A 20555-nucleotide genomic window follows, 5' to 3' on the forward strand; every position below is an offset into this window, starting at 1 on the left:
AGCCAGAGGGTGTGTGGAGATGGGAGTTAGGCGGAACTGACTGGGAATGGGCACAAGAAAGTTTTGGGGGTGATTGAAGTGTTCTGTGTCTTGATTGTGATGATGGTTATATACGTATATAATTTTGTCAAAACTCATTGAAAAGTGCACATGAAAAAGCTCTGGTTTGTCTCTGGGTTTTACCTGTTTTTAGGGACAGGCTGTGGAATATGTACACGTTGTTCTGGCCTCCACGTCCCCCTGGGGAATGCTGGGGACTTCCTGCAGCCTGCCTGGGCTGAAGGAGAGCCTGTGGGCTCACACCTTAGAAGAGGGAAGCTGGCTTCACCGGCCAGCTGCAGGCTTTTAAGGAGGCAGGAGCTGGAGGGGAAGTTGTGTCCTGTGGAGACTGGATGGGGTCACTCCATTTTCAACCCTGGGCCTCACAACACTAGGAAGCTGCACCAAAGCTCTGCTAAGAGTCAGTTATATTAGGGTGATTTTGCCTTATTTTATTGCTCCCAATTCCTAGTTTTCAGTCTCGAAGTCACCCTGAGGTGGCCCACTTTCCTTCCTGCAGGCATGGTCTGCCTAGCTGCAGTCACAACGTCTGCAGAAAAGTCAGTTTTCATCAGAGACTGCTGGTCTCACCAGCAGAAGTAGAGGGAATCCCGGTCCTCACCCAGTCTCATTCCCAAACCTCTTGTGAGTGACCAGAAGGACTGGGGCTTACCAGCTCCCTGCTTTTTGCATCAGGAAGGCACCAAACTCCAAGTCCAGAGTAGACTCTGCCTTACAATCCAGGAGATATACCCAGAGAGAGGTTGCCATACCCACGGGGGTACTATACATACCATTACACATCAGCTGGAATGGACACAAGGAACTTAGTGCGGTTTTCTTCTCTGTTTTTGCCTTCCTGGTGTCCTCTCCTTTACCATATGGTGTGATCACCCTCTAGGGGTCAAATGCCTCTTCGCATCCACACGAACATTCAGACTCACTTCAAGCCAAGGAAAATCTCTAATGCTGTAGATGTTTACCTCTTCAGCCCTCTCACAGAGGGCAAAGAGGAAGCCTGTGGGAGGGCCACAGAGCAACACAGTGGCTGCTGGAAATATTTTCCTGACTCAAAAGAAGGCAACTTAACGAGTGCAGGAGTAACCCAAGCGCTCGCCTACTTTCCCGGACCCACTCCTGCTGTCCAGAGTCACTTTCAAATACACCTGGGGAAATGGGCTTTGTCATAGTCTCACCCTGCTCTCTGCTTCTACATCTGATAACCTCCTTCCTATTGCTCTTACTCCTTCCTTCATTCCTCACAAAGTTCAATACAAGAGAATAGGATGTAAGGTTTTTGGGGTAGCTGAGAGGAACTATAGCACCAGACAGGAAATAATTCCAAGTTCACTTCTGGGCATTACTAAAGAAAGAACCCAGGGGCCATCTGACACCATAGTGGAGTTCTTTCCTGGCCTGCCCTTCCCATCTCCCAGGATTTTCTCCTCTTCAAGAGATTCTCCTTCATACTGCAAATTGCCAAATTCTTATTATTCTCTTTTCCTATTTAAGGCCTACCCAAGTGGCCTTATTTTTGTAATTATCTTAAGGTATCTTCCTCACTAAAAGATGATTTTGCCTTCTTCCTAAGAAGATAGGTTCAAAGTAGCACCAGGCTTTTGAAATTCTTTCTCCCCATTCTGCCTTTCATATATGTCTGTGTGTGCATATGTGCACATATGTGTGTAAGTACATATATGTGTGTGTTGTTTTGTGTATGTACATGTATGAGCATGTGACTGTATGTGTGTATTTTGTATACATTTATGTATATGTGTGTATGTGTGTGTTGTGTGCATATTTGCATGTGTGTGCATGTGTATGTTATAGTCACCCAAACATGGTTTACTTTATCCTTGCTTTTGGAGAGGAAGTAATTCTAGTCAAATGAGTCCAAATTACTATTTTTAAATTTTATTTAACCATTTTAGTAACAAACAATGTCTTGTTAGTGTGTACACAATTTTCACATTGGCATGGAACTTTGTCATTTGCTGATTATTGGACTTTTTCCCAAACACTTGTTTTGACTTACACAACTCCCCGAAGAAAATAGCTCCCAGTAGCAGTTTGCTTCCCTGAGGACCTAAAACTGGGCTCTGAATCTTTGACAGCAACTCACAATGTGGTTCTCAGAGATACAGAAGATCAGATGACTTCTTTAAGCTTTTCTCCCAAAGTGTGCACCACGAAGAGGTGGATCCAGTCCCCACTGACCGAGGCCACCCCACATGGAGCCCTCCTTGATGCTGAGTTAGAATGGTCTTCGCTTCACTCTCTTGTACGCAGGAAGCAGCTACAGTAGCGCCATGTCTTTGTTCCCTCCAGAAGCCGATTAACCCTTTGGGTAAAATATAAATTTTCTGACCTAGCTGCAGTTTCTTATTTCCTAGTCTCCCCTTCAGCACCAGACATAGGAAGCATGAAAGCTTAGCATCAGCGTGGAAAATATGACTCAAATGCAACACTTGCTCATTCCAGACGGCAACATGTTCCCTAAATGTAAAGCAAACTGTAACAGGAAACCTGATTTTCATTACAAGAGAGGAGTCTGTGTGTAGCTAAAAAGAATCTGACCAGAAAGGAATCAGTCAGTAATTCTACAGGCTCAAGAACCAAATGATCCTGTAGCAAAGAAGAAATGTGAATCAGAGAGAGAACTAAGCCCTGGCATTCATGTGTCAAGGCTCCCGATGGTGCTGAAATCTCAGAACATTTATTATCTTCCTTATGTCAGCGCTTCCTCTCAGTGCCGGCTCCTTGCCCCGTTTGCTCACTGCATACACCTGGAAGGCAGGTGAGCTTTGTCCGTGGTCCTCTCAGCTCAGTTTTTAGTCTCTTCTTTCCCCAGCCTTCTCTGCTCAAGAGACCATAACCATGGTGCCCCAGTGGTCTCCAGCAAGGTGTGCGTTTTCCCAGTGACTGGCATCAAGTGCAACAGGCGTCAAGTAGTTGGGGGATGCTGGAATGAATGGATCTCCTTCCTCGTCTGACTCACAAGAGAGCTACTCTCTTGCCTTCACCTATGTAGCCCAGCTCTCAACCCAATGAACAAATCTACACAGAGATGTTCATCAATAAAGAGCAGCTTAATGAGTTACCAGCTCAACCATAATCACAGAAGCAATGCCTTCACTCAATAAAGGAAACTGTAATTGTGACAGCAAGAGACACAAACTCCCCAGAAATAAAACGTAACAGGACCATTCCTATTTACTTCTAATGGATAGTCCTGATCTATCGCATAGAACATTTCCCTTCCAAATTTTAAATAATTAGTGAATAATAAACTCTGACATAATTTTGAGATAAAAAAACACACAATCACAATCCACTGGAAGATCTGGCTCCTTTCTCTAAATTTTGAGCTGGGTGGCTTTATTACATTTTTGTGTAAGAGTCCATCCTGAGTTCTATTCAGCCAGGATCCCTGTGCTGATCCATGGTGGTTTAGAGTCAGTCTGCCCCTTCCCTCCCAGCCCAACTCCCTGGAGTGACTGAAACTGAGAATTAGGCTTCCAAACTTCCTCACAGCTCCACAGATGTGGACTGAGTAAGAGGTTGTCCTGGGACCGCACTCAAAGTTTTGGAGCGGATCTGGCCTCAGGCCCCAGCCTGGGTTCGCACACTCCTCAGATGTCCCTGCATGCGTAGCCTAGGAGTCACAGCCAGGAGCTTCAGCCTCCAGGTGTGATTCCCGGGGAACCACAGAATCTTGGCTAACTGCCTCTAGTTGGCCTCCAAGCTTCAAGCATGCCCCACTTCAACCTAGAACACTCTTCTCTAGCCTCCTCAGAAGACCAACTGACTCCTATTTATTTATCCTCCCATTTCCAGTGTGTCCTCTGGACTTATCATGATCTGCGATGCCTGATAAATTCCTTTATATGGCATTCATCGCATTTGTAACAATTTGCCTAGAGCCTATGTCCCCTGTAAAACTATATTACCATGAGGAGCTAGCTCAGAACCAGACTTTGGTAAGATACTTGCAAATACCTGTTGAATTAATGATAGAACTCACCCAACCACCATACCTAAAGTGAAAGGTGACTATGTCCTTTCAGGCTTTATCTGAATCATGGTGATTGCATTAAACTTGAATAGAAAAATTATAACTTGGGAAAGTGACCAAAGAAGAAGGGGAAAACCTAGTTACAATATACCCAAGAAACATTATAAAATACTGGGACAAACACAGGCTCTGAAGGCATGTCACTATGGGTCAAGGTCCAAACCTGTCTCACATGAGCTATGTGAGTCTAGTAAAATCATGTAAACTTGTTGTGCTGCATTTTCATTTGTAAAATGAGGATAAGACTACTACGGAACTGATGGAACCACCATGAAAATTATGTAAAGTAACACACACACATAGAACACAATTAAGAAATAGCATATTGTCCTCATCATTCAAAGCAGGGTCACTACCTTCATCAAAGACACTGCTCTGACAGTGAGGCCAGATCCCCACCATCACCATAGTGGGCCATCTCCTCTCCTAACCTCCCCTCTCATATTTCACAGGCTGGGAGCAAGACCAATTTTGGGGAAAATGCTGTATTATGAAGTGATATAAGGTGCTAAAATGTTTAGAAAAGTTTTTGGTCACACATTATACATGTTCTCCACCTAATTCAAGTTTGGTAAACTTTGCCATAACACTCTTGGCCATGTATAAGAATTAAAAAAAAAAAAAGTCAGTAATGATTAAACTCAAACCAGAACTGGACTCACTGGTTTGCCTTGCCAGGTCCCTTCATTGAGGAAGATGCCTGTAACAAACTGTAGAGCCAGGATAGCAAAGTCCTAGGATTCAGCACTCGGGCTTAGTACCAGGACCCAATCCGAATTCTGCAAACAGCGTCATGATATTCCCTGGGATGAATAAGGACCCCAGGGCTCTGCCTCTGTCAATTGAACTGAAAAGAAAGTTCTAGGGAAGAATGAGCTGTCATGAATCTAAGCAGCCATTGGCTCTTGGCACTTGTGCTGGAAACAGAAGTTGGCTCTAAGTCAAAGCTATAAAAGGGGTTGTGTGTGGAATACGTGTAGCTAAGCAGCTGCTGACATTGCAGAGTTCTACATAAAATCCCCAGGTCGGTTTCAGACATTACAACTAGGAGATCTCTTTATAGCCTTCACCGGCAATTTCAGTCAGGTTTCCTTAGGGGAATAGAAGATGCCAGGTTGAAACAGCTACATGTTCCAAGCCTGCAAGTCCTCATGTCCTTCATTCCATATTTCTCCCAAATAAAAAGATGTGAGTGTGGTAGGGCACAGAGAGAGAAGCAGGACAAACCCCAAGCCTGCTTAGATGGAGGAGAGAGGATTGAAAGTTGGAGCAGGACACTGGAATTAAATATAATGGTGAGTGACATGGCCTGGAGTTAGTGAATTATTTGGACAAAGCATTTGTTATTTTAACAAATCAGAGAAAGGCCGGGCGCAGTGGCTCATGCCTTTAATCCCAGCACTTTGGGAGGCCCAGGCAGGTGGATCTCTGAAGGCCAGGAGTTCAAGACCAGCCTGGCCAATATAGCAAAACCCTGTCTCTACTGAAAATACAAAAATTAGCCTGGCATGGTGGTGCACACCTGTAATCCCAACTACTTGGGAGGCTGAGGCAGGAGAATCACTTGAACCTGGGAGGCAGAGTTTGCAGTGAGTGGAGATTGTGCCATTGCACTCGAGCCTGGGCAACAGAATGAGCCTCCATCAAAAAAAAAAAAAAAAAAATCAGAGACAGCATAGTAATTTTCCAGCTAACCTACTTTTGATCAGTTTAAAGAGGTGGAGGTATCATGAATCTCAACAATCTTCCTCAGCCAACCTTTTGCACCTCTCCCATCGTGCCTTTCACTAAAGCTGCTGTGCTAGCATTGTGTCTCCTTTCTACTTCCCTGCCAGAGAAGTTCGTGAGTAGTAAAAATGACTTAAGGGCATGTAGCAGAAGGGAGGCGAAGGGAGGAGGAGGAGGAACCAAGGCCCTAGATAATCTTTAAATTGTATGATCGAGTTCCAGAAATTTGACTTCATCTGTGTTAAGGAGTTTTTAATAAAATAAATCTTATAATCAAAGAATGTTAGAGCTGGAAGAGACCTTTATAGAGATCCTTAGAACCCTATCTATTTAAGGGTATAGATAAGGCCACATTTATCCCAGAATAAAGGACTGATAAGAATGTTTCAGAAAATAAATTTTGGAGGTTGGATAGTCATTTATGCAACTGACAAGATGCTCAGTATGTTTGCAGCAAGGAATGAAGAGGCATTAGGTTCAAGAAAGAGAAAGTAATGTTTTGAAGAATTACTGAAAGGCAATGCAGGAACAAGACTAGATAATGTTCAGAGTTGGTCTTTGTCACTAGAGGAGAGTAACATTTATTGGAAGCCTACTATGCGGCATGTGTTTTCCCATGCCCTATCTCCTTTAATCCCCATCATAGACCCTTCTGATCATATGCTAGTGGCACCTGCCAAGACTGCAGAGAGTGAGAGGGTACCAGGGAAGACTATGGAATAAGCAGGGCCCATATTGGCTCTTGAATGAGGAGCAGTGAGCTCAGCAACATGGCAGGGAAGAAGAGATGTGCTCTTGAGGCCAAGACAGCAGGGTGAGTTAAGTCTCTGAAACCAGAGGGAGCATGGCATGGGGAAGGTCTGGTGGGAGCTTTGAGAGGGAGAAAATGAATGCATTGAGGAGCAGGCAGGAGCCAGACTGAAAAGGGTGAAGTAAGTCATGCAAGGATGTGTCACCTTCAACTTGAAGGACACGGGAATAGCTGAAATAATTCAAGGAGGAAGGATGAGAAGAGAAATGATCATTTTTATCTCTAGAAAAATTGTTCCTGCTCTAGTTGGAAAGACTACAAGATTGGAGTCAGAGAGATCAGAGAAGAGGTTTCCAGGAGGGAAATGATAAAGTAAGTGAAGAATTTGCTTTCCTCTGTTCACTCTAGAACATTTCCAAAGTGTGGGTGACAGGCCTTGTGATAGTAAGAAAGAGGTTAAATATTTTGAACAGTATGCGGAAGAAACAGGAGAAAGATTGCAGAGTTTGTAGAAGAAAAAGAATAATTTCTGCAAGAAAGGGAGAGACTATAGATTAAGGTAGGTCTAAGAGGAGCCATCACTGCTTCAGCCCACAGCTGCTGTTCCCAGGAGGGGCTGCAGGATGACACGTCACAAGCAAAGAGCCACAAGACAGAGCTTGGAAAGGTCCATTGTTTTTGTCATTTTTACTCTGGCCAATCATATCTAAAAGACCATTATACAGGCAGTTATCTGAACAAACAGGAGCCTTTTATTAGCAGTTGGGAAACTTAACAAGAAAAGTAGAGGCAGATTTAATTCCCAAGGACTTCAGTTGGGCAATCAGAAATTCAACTGTGATGAGATAAAGTATTTAATCAATTGTCTTTCTGGTTCAGAATAGGAAACTGGGTCTTAGAGTGAGCAAGTGACTGGCTCGATGGCATCTATATAGTGAGTGGTGGGGTTGGGATTCAAACCCACACTCGTTTTATTTCAAAGTCACTAAACTGTAGTGCCTCCATGACATAAAAACTCTTGTGATAATTTATATACTTTGGCAACATATTATAAAAGTATTTCTAAGAGGACTCCATACACAATTGTTTTAAATGTTGAAGGGCTAGGTCTGTTGAGTTGTTTCATTAGATAGGTGGTTCTGATGTGTTTCCTGGATAGTTCCAAACTGGAGGAGAAATCCTAGATCCACAATAACAATGAAAATAGCATTTCTCTAATTTTAGCTGCCCCACACTCTGTTATTGAGGACTTCCAGCCACTTAGTGAAGCAGCACTTTCAGTTCTAATTGAAGTCTCCTCTTCCCAGTTGGCAGAAACTTGTAGAAGTGACAGATAGCATACAAGCCTCAGAAGTGTACCTTCTCCGAATGCTGATACCTTGTCTTTGGACTGCCTTAGTACCTAGGGTCTTTTCTAAAAGTCTTGCTTTCTTGATGGCTGTCTGTGTCAATGCAAATAGAACCATGGCAGGCCTTCCTCACATTCCCTCCAGAGGTGCCTGGACATTTCAAATTGTGGAACTCAAGCTTCTGCCCTCATGGCATAGGTTAACATTCATCCACAGGCAATGATCAAGGTAGTCAATTACTACATGTGTTTGGTTGTTTTTAATAGACCTATTTATAATCCATAAGGAGATCCAGCTTGATAATATAATCAATTATAATAGATCCTTGGAAGTATATTTGATTATCAGAAAATAGCAAGCATAATTTTTCTATATGGCTCAAACTGACACAAAAGACGGATCCTAGAGAAGTTTGGGGAATTGGTATGGTCACAGGAACATGTGTACAGACGTTCAGGCCTATTTCTTTGGCAGATAGCATTTATCCAGAGGTTTAGTTTTGTTCTAAAGTTAATCTCGCTGCTGTTAGTCATACCTCCAGCATCATTCTACTTTGAATGTATGATAGGACAGGGGAGCAAAGTTTGCTGACTTTAATCAAGCCAGATGACTTTTCATATTCACACCAGCTGTTGGCATATGCTGAGTTTTACTTTATTTCCTTCTCCTGGGAGTCATTCATTAATAGGTATAAAGAATTGCCCTAAACATTTTTTTTGGCAACTTCACATTTCAATCCACAACTGCTAGACACACTAAAGTATTATATTTGCAGTTAGCCTATGCAGCGTGCAGATTTTTCCTAATAGAGTTCTACTTTAAGTCTGCCTCTGTTCTTATCCATAGAAGGGGAAAACTTAAGCCAAAAAGGAAAAAAAAATTGGATGATTGCCACATATCTCTGCAAATATGGGTTGGACGTGAAATAATTTAAAATGCGGTAAAACTTAGTAATTTAGCATATGGGTTAGTGAACATGCACATATTTTGCCAAGAGCCTGCACACAGATGAAAAGCCCATTTTCTAGACGCCAATTCATGGGGTTCTACAAGCCCCTTGTTTACTTTATTCATTGCAGAGCCTATTTTTATTTGTAGTTTTTGTGGCAAAATTGTTGGTAGCAACTATAAAACCCAGGCAAAAGTCTTAGGAATGATCCTTTGCTACCCACATTTATATCAGCAATCAGCGGGGTTGGGGGGTGGGCGGGGAGAAAGTGGATAAAGCAGTGAAATATAGACCTGCCAAGTGATTGCAAAAATTAGGAAACTCCTCTTGAAAGAAAGTAGTGGGTTATATACGGATGTTCTAACCTTTCATGTGTTGGATGTACCCCAGAAGTTATATATCTCTGTTGTCAGCAGCCACATGGAGGTAGATAAGGGGAGAGATTCCAGTCTCTTTCAGCATTCTGTGTATCATTTCCATGTACAAATATCTGCTTCAGTGTCAGCAGTTCTGTACAGAGAAAAAGCACGTGGAAGGGACGAAAGAACAGAGCAGCCAGGTTCCAAAGAACAGAGCAGCCAGGTTCCGAGTAGATAAGGCTGTCTGTCACCTTTTCAAGATTGACCTCAGCCTTTCAGGAAACCGAGGTAACAACATGAAACTAGTGAATTCCAGTGGAGAAACACTGAGTTGAATATTTTCAGCATCCTGGGTTTTCCAGGATTTTCACAAGTGAGAAATGCAGAGACGATGGTGATAGGGAAGCTCCAGCCTGGGCCACACAGCAGCGTCAGTGCCTGCAGGACAGCAGCTGGCACTGGTGGTGGTGAAGGCAGCGAGGCTGGTCCGAAGAAACAGAAGGAGCAGCAGATACTTTTGAACCTCATGTTAATACTCTAACAAAATCTCTTTTACTTCATTTATTACAAATTGGCAAAGGAAAAAGAAACCATGTTAACCAAACAAACAAAAACAATAAAAAGTTAAAAATAACAGAGCAGAAAGCATGACTGCAGAGTGCCAATGGTCATTGTTCTCTTTAGCTTGTGCTACTTAAGAAAGCTTCATCTGCTTTTTACTTTTTTGTTTTCCAGATTTTCTGTGATCACTTTCTTTCTCTTCATCCTCATGTATTTAATTTTTGTACTGATTTATTTATTAATCTGTGTTTTAAAAAATCATATCATGTTTCAATGTCGTGAGGTTCTATTAAGCTTAGATTGTAAATATTATATTCTAGAGAATTTACTGAGTCAGAAGAGAGATGAATAAAGCCAAGTTCATCAGTCGAAGCTTCAGGGACATTTAGATAAATAAACATAATCATTGCATTGACAATAGTTAAACACCATCTGGTGAGGATCAGTTCCTGAAATGGAAAAGCTGGGAGCCAAGTGAGTAAAGTGGGAGAGAGACTCCTTCTGGTCAGGGAAAACATAGAACTTGGGTTCAGCGTGGGAGTACTGCATTTTTAAATTTCTGTCTTAGCATCTATGGTTAGCGAAACCGTCCCCCTGCTCCCTAATAGAGAAGTCACTTTGAAGGTAGGTGGTGGCAATGTGGAGCTCTGACAGATAAGAGACCTCTAGAAATCAAATCCTTCATTACTGCTTCCCAATGAATCTGAAGTCATTGGAAATAGCAGAAAAATTATGTAAGTGCTGTGACATCTTACTCAGAGTTAATGGGGTTTCTCGTATACCTGCTATGTGCCAGGCATGGTGCTGGAGGCCATAAAGTCATGTGACCTTGAAGGACTTTTGGCTCCTACCATCAAGTTTTGGAAGAAGTTGAAAGGAGTCTTTGATAAAACTTGGTGAAACTCCAAAGTTAAATTAAGCAACAATTGATAAGAACTGGGGACCCATTTCTGCCTTGGCTCACATGATTACTTGCTCTTTCCTATTTCTCCTCCTTCTTTCTGGCCCTGATAATCCTGACAGTCCCCATTCCTGGTTTGGGCAGTGCCACCCGGCACAGAGTAAGAACTGGGCTGTCCAACCATGGACCCAAAGGGAGTCACAGCCAGACCTCAGAGGATTCTCAGCTTTCAAACCTATAGACCTGGATGCCAGGCCTCATTCTTTCACTTTCCATCTCTGTGACTATATTCATCAAAGCTTTCCCAGGAAATGGAACCAATAGGATTATCTATCTATCTATCTATCTATCTATTCATCTATCTATCTATCCCTCCATCTATCTTTCATCTATCATTACCTAAAGAGATTTATTATAAGAAATTGACTTATGAGATTATGGAGGTTGAGAAGTCCAAGATCTGCAGTTGACAAGCTAGAAACCCAGGAGAGCTGATAATGCGATTCCAGTCCAAGTCTGAAGCCCTGAGAAGCAGGAGAGTTGATGGCATAACTTCCAGTCAAAGTTTGAAGGCAGGAGAAGAGCCCTGTTCCAGCTCAAAGACACTCACAGAGAGAGAGAGAGTTCTCCCTTCCTCAGCTCTTTTGTTCCAATCAGGCCCTCAACAGATTCAATGAGCCCCACACACATTGAGGAGGGCACTGTGCTTTACTCAGTTCACCAATTCACATGTCAATTGCATCCAGAACCATCCTCACAGACACACCCAGAATAACGTGTGACCAAATATCTGGGTACCCTGTGGTCTAGACAAGTTGACATGTTTTGATGTGACCTTGGGCAAGTTGCTTAATCTCAGAGCACCTCAATCACACATTTGTAAAAATGGGACTAATTCCTCACTGGGCTAATAGGTTTAAATTGTAGGCAACATCTTTGGCACAGTGTCCGTTCAGTGGGAAGGACTTAATGATCAGCAGGTATCAATCATGTCCACAACAGTTATCATACCCCAGGAACTTTGTAGGTGTCAAGCTCTATGACACCAACGCTTTAGACATATTATCTCACTTAATGCTCACATCAACCCTATGAGGTGTTTTTATCCCCATTTTATAGTTGAGTAAACTGAGGCTCAGTGAGTTATACCTTGTCCCTTGGTCACACCAATAAGTAGGCCATAAAGCTAGTATTTGAACCAGATGTTCTAACCCCAGAGCAAGCTCATAGCTGTTACACTGTGTTTCCTCAAGCTAGAGGCCACACGAATTACATAAAAGTTAATTAGCCCACCATCATTACTTATTTTAATTTGTAGCATTACAATAGTATTATTCTCTACCATTTTTTATTATAAATACAAAGTATTCCAGCTATGTTATGTGGTAAGTAGGTTTTTATAAGGTAGCCTGGAAGCCTAACTGCCATTTATAATACCATTTCTGAAAATGTGATCTGAATTTTAAACAACCAACCTAAAAATGAGCTTTGAATAGTGACATGTTTTCAAGTTGGGGCCCATTTGCTGAAATCAGCAAAACGGGGTAATGCTGGTTCAAGTTGTTTCATTACAGGTTTCTTTAAACATTGTTGAAGGTTGTTCTATGAAAAGCTATGCTAGTGTCTCTCACAGCACTCCATATTATTGGACTAGGTAGCCCCAGGACACAAAAATCAAAAGTATTCCCCTGAGTACTCATCCAAGTCAGCAGGCAACTGAATTGTAGGCAAACTCTGAAGTAGGGGGAAATAAGGACAGATTTGCAAGTTCTAGCTTAGAAATTCAAGAGACTTTCAGGCACCCCACCATGCAGGCATCCCCAGTGCTCTGTCCCTGCAGAGGCAAGGGCTCCCACTTGCCCTGCCCACTTAGAGCAGCTTCACAAGCACTCGAACACTGGAAACAGAAGGGCCTCAGTTTGGCTCACAATTAGCAACTTACTAGCTGTGCAACCTTGGCTTTCTAATTAAAATAACATCTCTAACCCTCATTTTTTTTCCATCTGTAAAATAAGTCTAATCATAACTATTTGTAGGATTGCTGTGGGATTACATAAAAGCTTTTATATATAGTTCCTGGCAACTGCGTACACCTTCAGTATAGAGCCATTCTTCACAACTTCTCTTATCTTTTCTGCTATAATTTCTGGGCAGGTTGAAGGTAGAGATAACAGTGATTGTTACCCATGGCCTGAGTATAGACAGCCAAGAAAGTGGTGGAGGAAGGAAGGAGGCTGGGAAGTGTTGCCCATACTTTTGGCCATGAGAAACCCAACAAAGCTCTGCCAAATGTGGGGTTCCCATTAGTGAGGCTTTCTAGGTTCAGGTTTCATTTTTTAATTTCTGCCCTGAAGACATGCTGATGGGAAACAGAAATACCTTTATTCCACCTGGATTTCAGGCAGCTTGTTCTTAGGCTGCTGCAGGCACCGGGCCCTTCCTGGAAGAGGCAAGGAGGCCAGGCCCAGGTGGGAAGGCCAGACAGTTCAGTAGGGTCACTGCACCTCTCTCCTTCCTTGTCTTTGCCAACTTTGAAGAAAGCCTATTTGAGCTAACATTTATCCTAAATGCACTTTCTGAAAAACTAATGCAAATCTAATAGGTAAGATCTTTATTCCAAGGAGCAAATGCTTCCAAATTATACCCCTATTAAAAAATACAATTTAAAAACCACATGGCAATAACAAAAAACTGAAGGGTCCATAAATTAGGAAAGAGTCATACCCTTGTGCAAAATAAAACTCTGGTCTATAAGACACTTCAATCCAACCAGAAATTCTGTTTGCCCCTGGGTTTTACATATCCTCAGTTCGCTCATCAGTACAATTTGAGAACTTAGAAATAAAAATAATAGAGATACTTTAGTACTCAATTAGTCATTCTGCCTACTGAAAACAAGGATTAAAGCCTCTATTAATTAAGTCACAGTCAACAACAAAACCTTCTGTTGTGTTTTGTTCATTTGACACATATTTAGGTCATATTTCTATACTCTCTTTCTTCCTCATGGACTATATCGTGTTCTCAGAAATAATTTAAAAATATTAATGACAGAAAGTAATATGAAATCCCTAGTCTACAATTTTATTTTCATTTCTTTTAACCTACTATATCTTCTGCCTTTGGCTTGGAAGCCCCTTATTTTTTTTTCCTAGCATGTTATGTCATGTTTTTATAGCATGGCTGTGCTAATGACTAGTATTGAAAAATTCTGAAATGAAGGTAATTAGTCTCAGAGAGGTTAAATTACCCAAAACCACCCATCTATTGAGTGACAGTGTCAGGATTCAACTTCTTGTCCTTTGACCCCAAATCCCATATAATTTCCAATATAAATAAACTGTCAGGATATTTCCAATGTATCTGGATACTGAAAAACAGGTGTTAGATCTATTTTGTTGGGCTCTTATGAGAAAATAATTTTGGTAACTCCAAAATTTACTGAGAATTATTTCAGTCTTACTAATACATTAACTCATGATTATTCCCAAGTTGATTGAGGCATGAGTTCTATATGTATAAAAAAGACTCTGGGGCCAGAACAGGATGTCTGGGAAGCCAGAGCCTCTTGGTACAATCATGAAACAACCTAGAGTTCCTTCCTCAGTGCAGACTGTTTTGGCTCTAGAGTCTTTCTGCACAGATAGAAATCATGCCTCAATGACCTTGAGACTAATCATAAAGCTACTTTAGTATATGGGCATGATGACTCCAAATTGGTACCACTGACTTCATGTTAAAGAGTTGTTAAGACTCCAGTAAGCACATTTTTGAGATAAATAATTTAGACAAGGGAAAGTAAGCTTGTACCAAAAAGGTCAGTTCCAGTGCCTGTCATAGTCATCCAAGAAACTGCCAAGGCCATAGTCAGTACTGAGGAAGGACCCCTTCGTCATCCTGTGAGCTGGGAGCCGTCCACTGTGCCACAAGGCTGTGGCTTCACAGCCATCCTAACTGCATGGGCTATCTCAAATGGCCATAGTCAAGGTAACCAGTAAATTATGAATTGGCCTGACAAAAAAAAAAAAAAAACTATAATGAAATAGCCTCTTTGAGGGGTTTGAAAATGAGACTCCACTTATAGTCTGAGCAGAGGATAAAATAAGGAGAAGGAAAATAGTTGGGAGCACCAAATAAGTTCAAGTAATGAGTAAACTTTAAGGCAGCAATAATAATAATAAACAATAATATACAGTACTTACAAAATGCCATGCTCTGTTTCAAGGGCTTTATCTCTCTTGACTCATTTAATCTTAGCAACAAGTGCATGTGGAAGGATAATTGCCAGGAGTTCCTCAATAATGACAGAGGTTACTTCTGACGCCATTACAGCAACAACCACAGAAAGCAATAAGACAGCAAAAGGATTACCCGGCCCTCCAGACACCTGGCTTACACCATCACCATCCAGCTCTCTTCTCTGCATGGCCTGGTTCCAAATACTTCTTCCTCTGAGATTCCATTTCCTCCTCTGTATCCCTAAGATAATCTCATTACTAAAGGTAGCATAAATGGGTTTCTGTTCTTTGCAGCCTAACAATGTGAATTGACATAAAGCTCATTCACAGCCATATTGAGTATAGTTAGAGAAAAAAATTCAGAAATATAGGTCCATAGTTCAGCATATGCTCTGAGGTCATCAAAGTAAGCAGAACTCCCCAGAAGGAATATGAAAGAATTTTCAATCTGCATCGCCAGTGGAATTAAACAAATAATGTGCAATATATTCACATCAGTACTTTTGCCTTTTGCACAAAATCAACTAACTATGTATGCAACCATGTCTGATACTTAGCACTTCAGCAAATGTTTGAATAATGTTATCGAATAAGAAAGTGGATGTATGTGTGTGGGGACACAAATGTGTTATGTCCTATGGCCACCTGCACATGATACCAAGAACACTGTCAACATACATGTTATCTACAGATAGGGAAGAAATAACAAAGAGAAACAAAAAGCTCGTGAGGCTACTGTGTGATAGTAAACGCCAGGAAACCATGAACTATCTGTACAGGACACATTTGCCTTTGTACCCCAAGAAGTTAGCACAGTGCCTCGCACATAAAGAACTCTCAATTCTTCTGTAATTGAATGGAACTGAATTGATCTAGTTACTATGTATCCTTGCTTAATCTCCAGGTAGCCATGTGATTGCAATGAATACCATTAATGCTGATGAATTTTATTATCTTATGAAAGCATTAAACTTCTGTACCTGTTAAGATCAAACTTCTGAAATTTATTGTTGCAGGACTTTTCCTTAGTTCAGCTAAAGACTGGGTCCTTGTCCATCCCACAGCCACAAAAATTTAGGCTTACAGGCTGGGCGCGGTGGCTCACGCCTGTAATCCCAGCACTTTGGGAGGCCGAGGCGGGTGGATCACGAGGTCAGGAGATCGAGACCATCCTGGCTAACAAGGTGAAACCCCGTCTCTACTAAAAATACAAAAAATTAGCCGGGCGCGGTGGCGGGCGCCTGTAGTCCCAGCTACTCGGGAGGCTGAGGCAGGAGAATGGCGTGAACCCGGGAAGCAGAGCTTGCAGTGAGCCGAGATTGCGCCACTGCGGTCCGCAGTCCGGCCTGGGCGACAGAGCGAGACTCCGTCTCAAAAAAAAAAAAAAAAAAAAAAAAAAAAAAAAAATTTAGGCTTACAGATGGTTTGAAGAGTAAAGAAGGGTTTGAGTGAAAAGGAAGAAAAGGGGGACACAGAGACTCTCCGCGAGGCCAGAGTTCTCTGCTAGAGCGCTTCCTGCCTCACCGCTTGAATCCCACGCTACAGACAGGAAGAGGAGGGGCCAGACTCCTCCTCATTGCAAACTGCGGGAACTGCCGTAGCTCCACCCCAGTGCTCATTGCTCCGAGGGCGCAAGTCTGTTGGAGATTTTCTGGGCCCCCCCATCTGACTGTCTCTTTATTTCCGTAAGATGGCTTTGTTTATATCACACACACAAAAAATAAGAACATAAAGGAACCTTTGGAAAAGATTGTATGATGTGCTTGAATTTTTATTTTTTTAAATCGTAAGGTATTTTCTTACAGACAACTATAAAGAAACTTCAGCACCCACCAGCCTGCTTTATCAAAATAACATTGGTCTCTGTTAACTGTTTTTTAAATTTATTTTTATTGAACTCCAGATGCACAAAATCAGATTAATCAGAGTTCTTGGTTCTTGACACAATATGATCCTCGGCTCTTTCATGGCTTTCAATTAGTTATAGATTACTTTATTCATGTAGTCATTTTTTTATTTTGAATAATATGAGTACTCCTGAATCCACAATGCAATCCAAAAACTTAACACATTAACAATAACTAGGCTTCACCCTATCTTGTGTTCCTGCCTACCCCTTCGGGACAAACACTATCCTGATTTTTGTGTTTGTCACTTTCTTGGTTTTTAAAAAACATTTTATTATATATATACCACATATAAAAAATATCATATATATGATATATATATAATATATATATATATAGTCAATATGTTGTTTTCAACCGATACATTATTTTACTTGTTTTGACCTTCATTAAAAGCGTATCATGTTACACGAAGTCGTCTAACACGCGTTCCAGGGACTCAATATTACATTACTAAAATTCAACTGCGTGTTATATGTCTCTGGTCCACTCAATGCTGGCTTGTTCTGTTGTGAAGACTTGCCTCAATTTTGCATGATTTGGGGTTGTTTGCCATTTTTACCATTAGATAAACTACTGGTGAACATGCTCATAGGTATCTTTTGGTGTGCTGTGCAAGAGATTGTCCTGGGTGTACTTCTTATAGTGGAGTTTCTGGGCCATAGGATATATGAATAACTACCTTCCTAATAGACTGCCAAGACATTTTCCAAAGCGGTCGTCCCAATTTTCACTCCCACCAGTTGGTCCATACACTCTAATACATGGTTAGTCAGATTCCTTAATTTTTCCCAATAAAATAGGTGAAAAATGACATTTCATTCTGGCCTTGATTCTAATTTCCATGGTTACTAATGAGGTGGAATATTTCATCATTTTATTGGCCATCTATGTTTTCTTTTCTATAAAGCACTCGCTGATATATTTTGCATATCTTTTTTATTGAATTGCTTGTGGCTTCGGAATTTTTTTACATAAAATAAAAATTGCAGATAAAGTTGAGATCCTCATGTAGCTATCCTTGTCACATTTCCTTTTTCATTCCTCAGCATAAATCACTATCATTAATTTAATGTTTCTCTTTCTTAGGCACCTTTTGATCAATTTATCATATATTTGTGTATATATAATATATACATAGTGCTATTGTGCTATTTTTTAAACTAACAATCAATAGCATCCTATTTGTCAATGTTTGTAAAACTTACTTTTCTCTCAACATTATGTTTATGAGATTTATTCTGATTGTTGTGGCTCTCATTTTGTCTTTTAAACTGGTATATAGTATTTCACTGTATAAATATACAAAAATATATATTTATGCATATTCCTATTGATGGACTTTTAAGTTTTATCAATTTATTTTACTATCATAAACATTATGCAGGAAACCTGATTATATGTGTCTCCATATGCACATATGCAAAAGTTTCTCCAGGAAACATACGTAAAAGTTAAATGGCTCAGTCATGGGCTATGCACATCCTCACCTTTAATAACCATCACCAAAGTAATTGCACTAAATTCCACCACCAGGATATGACAGCTCCTATTTCTCCACGTTTTTTCTAACATTTAGAGTATTTAGTTCACTCGTTTTCCCCAATCTGCTGTGACATAGTATATTACTATAGTTTTAATGTGCATTTCTATCACCGTTAATGAGTTTGAGCATTTTTCAGATGTTTGGATTCCTCTTCTATAAATCTCTTGTTCATTCTTTCCTTGTTTCAATTTTTTGAGGTTTATTTTTCCTATTAACTTATATATTATAAATAAATTATCTATCTACTTACAATTTATGATTTATTGTATATTATTGTCGTTTATCTGTTTTGGGGGTAGATTTTGAAACATTTTCTCCTACTCAGTACCATGTCTATTTCTCCTTCCCTCCTCCTTTCTTCCCTCTTTTCTTGTTTCCTCCTCCCTCATTTCCTTCCTTCCTTCCTCCCTCCCTCCCTCCCTCTTTCTTTCTTTCTTCTTTCTTTCCTTCTTTCTTTCTCTCTTCCTTTCTTTCTACAAAACTTGTGATCTTAATGTAGTTACATTTGTAATTTTTTCGTTTTCACATTTTTGTTTGTCTTTGTCTGAGATGCCCTCTCCTAAGCTAATACCATAAAGATATTCTCCTATCATTTTTTTCCCAAGCATCATACAGTTCCTCAGTCATCTTTAGGTCAACATTCCAGCCAGAATTGATTTGAGGGCATTAAGACAGAGAGCTGATCTTGCTGTATTTATTAAGCAGTGCATTTTTCCCCATCATTTTGTAAGGCTAGCTCGGCCACGGATCAGGTTTCCATGCATAAATATGTGCATTTGTGACCTACTTCTCCAGCTCTGCACTGACATTATGCTACACAAAGCTCTCCAGCTTCCTAAGATGTCATATCCAATAGGGCAAACACTTCCCTCATGATGTTCTTCTTCAAAAAAGTTGTTTTGGCGATTTGTGGCCCTTCACTGTCCAATGAAGTTTTTAGACTCAGGTTGTCAATTTCCACAAACTCCTCTCTGGATTTTAACTATAACTGTAGTGAATTGCATGGAAATTGCTTTTCCTAACATAATTTCTGGCCTGGTCTTTTTTTTTTCTGCCTTATTTTCTCTTAATCTTAAATTTGTTTTAAATATTTTTCATATTTTACTACAAACTACTATTAATTCTTTTTGGTACTAGGCAGGACATAATTGAGCAAAATGGGTGAATAAGAGCTTCTCTATGTTTCCTGTGGGTAAGCTAAGTACTCTGGAGATACAATGTTTTGGGTGGATTTAGAATCTTGCACATTCCTGAATATCAATCTCATTAGGCAGTAATATAAGCACCATATCCATTTTTAAAGTGTGCCAGAAGGCAGACTAAATCCATCCTAATCCCAACAAGAGAAAAAACTTGTTTAGGTTGAGATGGGGGAATAATTAACCCTCCTATCTGAAAGGGAACAAATTATTATTCCTGCACCTTTCTATAAAACATGAGCACAAGCACAGGGTCTTTCAGCGTACTGGTAGAATTATTTTATTGTCTCCATCTTTATCACTCTAACTTTGAGCTAAATTCATATGTGAAGTATCCTTGTGTGAACGTTGTTCAAAATAGCATCACTTTTCTTTGCATTAAATGAGCTTTACCTCCTTTGCAGTACTAATAGCGGTCATTACCTCTAAGAGTTGTACTCAGCGATAAGATAATGCCCCACTATCTGAGATTTCATAGTGCCTTTCACCTAATATTCACTCTGCCTCTGAAAAAACATGAGTGTAGGTCCCATTTTATAGATGGTGAAGTCTGGGTACCAAAAACTGAAAGACATTCTATTCCCTCTATTAAAACTCTATGGAGTTAAAAAGGAGCACAGCCTGGCAGTCACCTTTGTGGAGAGTCCAGCCATGTAATGCACACTATAATGCAGGAGGGCTGAGTTTGCGGATTAAACACTGGCATGGTTGCCAAGGTCTGCTTTCTTTATGTGTCTTGGACCCAGCCAAGACCAGCATGCAGTGACTTTGGGATCACTAGGCTTCTGTTCCTATGAGTTGCTCATTTCCCAGCCTTTCCCAAAGAGTGTGTTGGAAAACAGAGGGATGTGAATAGATAGTTATACATGAAAATGGATTCCTTGGCCATATAGGCTTGAAAACATTAAAGCGTAAAAAAGCTTCTCAAGTGTAGAATTTGTGAACTCTGACTA

At 40.7% G+C, this 20555-nt stretch overlaps 1 long non-coding RNA gene across 1 annotated transcript in view; it reads right to left on the bottom strand.

Annotated features, from left to right (window-relative positions):
• Positions 1-16147, bottom strand: part of LINC01448 (long intergenic non-protein coding RNA 1448) — a 44722-nt gene extending 28575 nt beyond the window's left edge. Inside the window, exon 1 of the long non-coding RNA NR_110833.1 lies at positions 15931-16147. This is a non-coding gene — a long non-coding RNA (long intergenic non-protein coding RNA 1448). The remainder of the gene's footprint in view (positions 1-15930) is intronic.
• Between the last annotated feature and the right edge of the window lie 4408 nt (positions 16148-20555).

The sequence above is a fragment of the Homo sapiens genome, chromosome 7 (genome assembly GCF_000001405.40).
Source record: "Homo sapiens chromosome 7, GRCh38.p14 Primary Assembly".
NCBI lineage: Eukaryota > Metazoa > Chordata > Mammalia > Primates > Hominidae > Homo > Homo sapiens.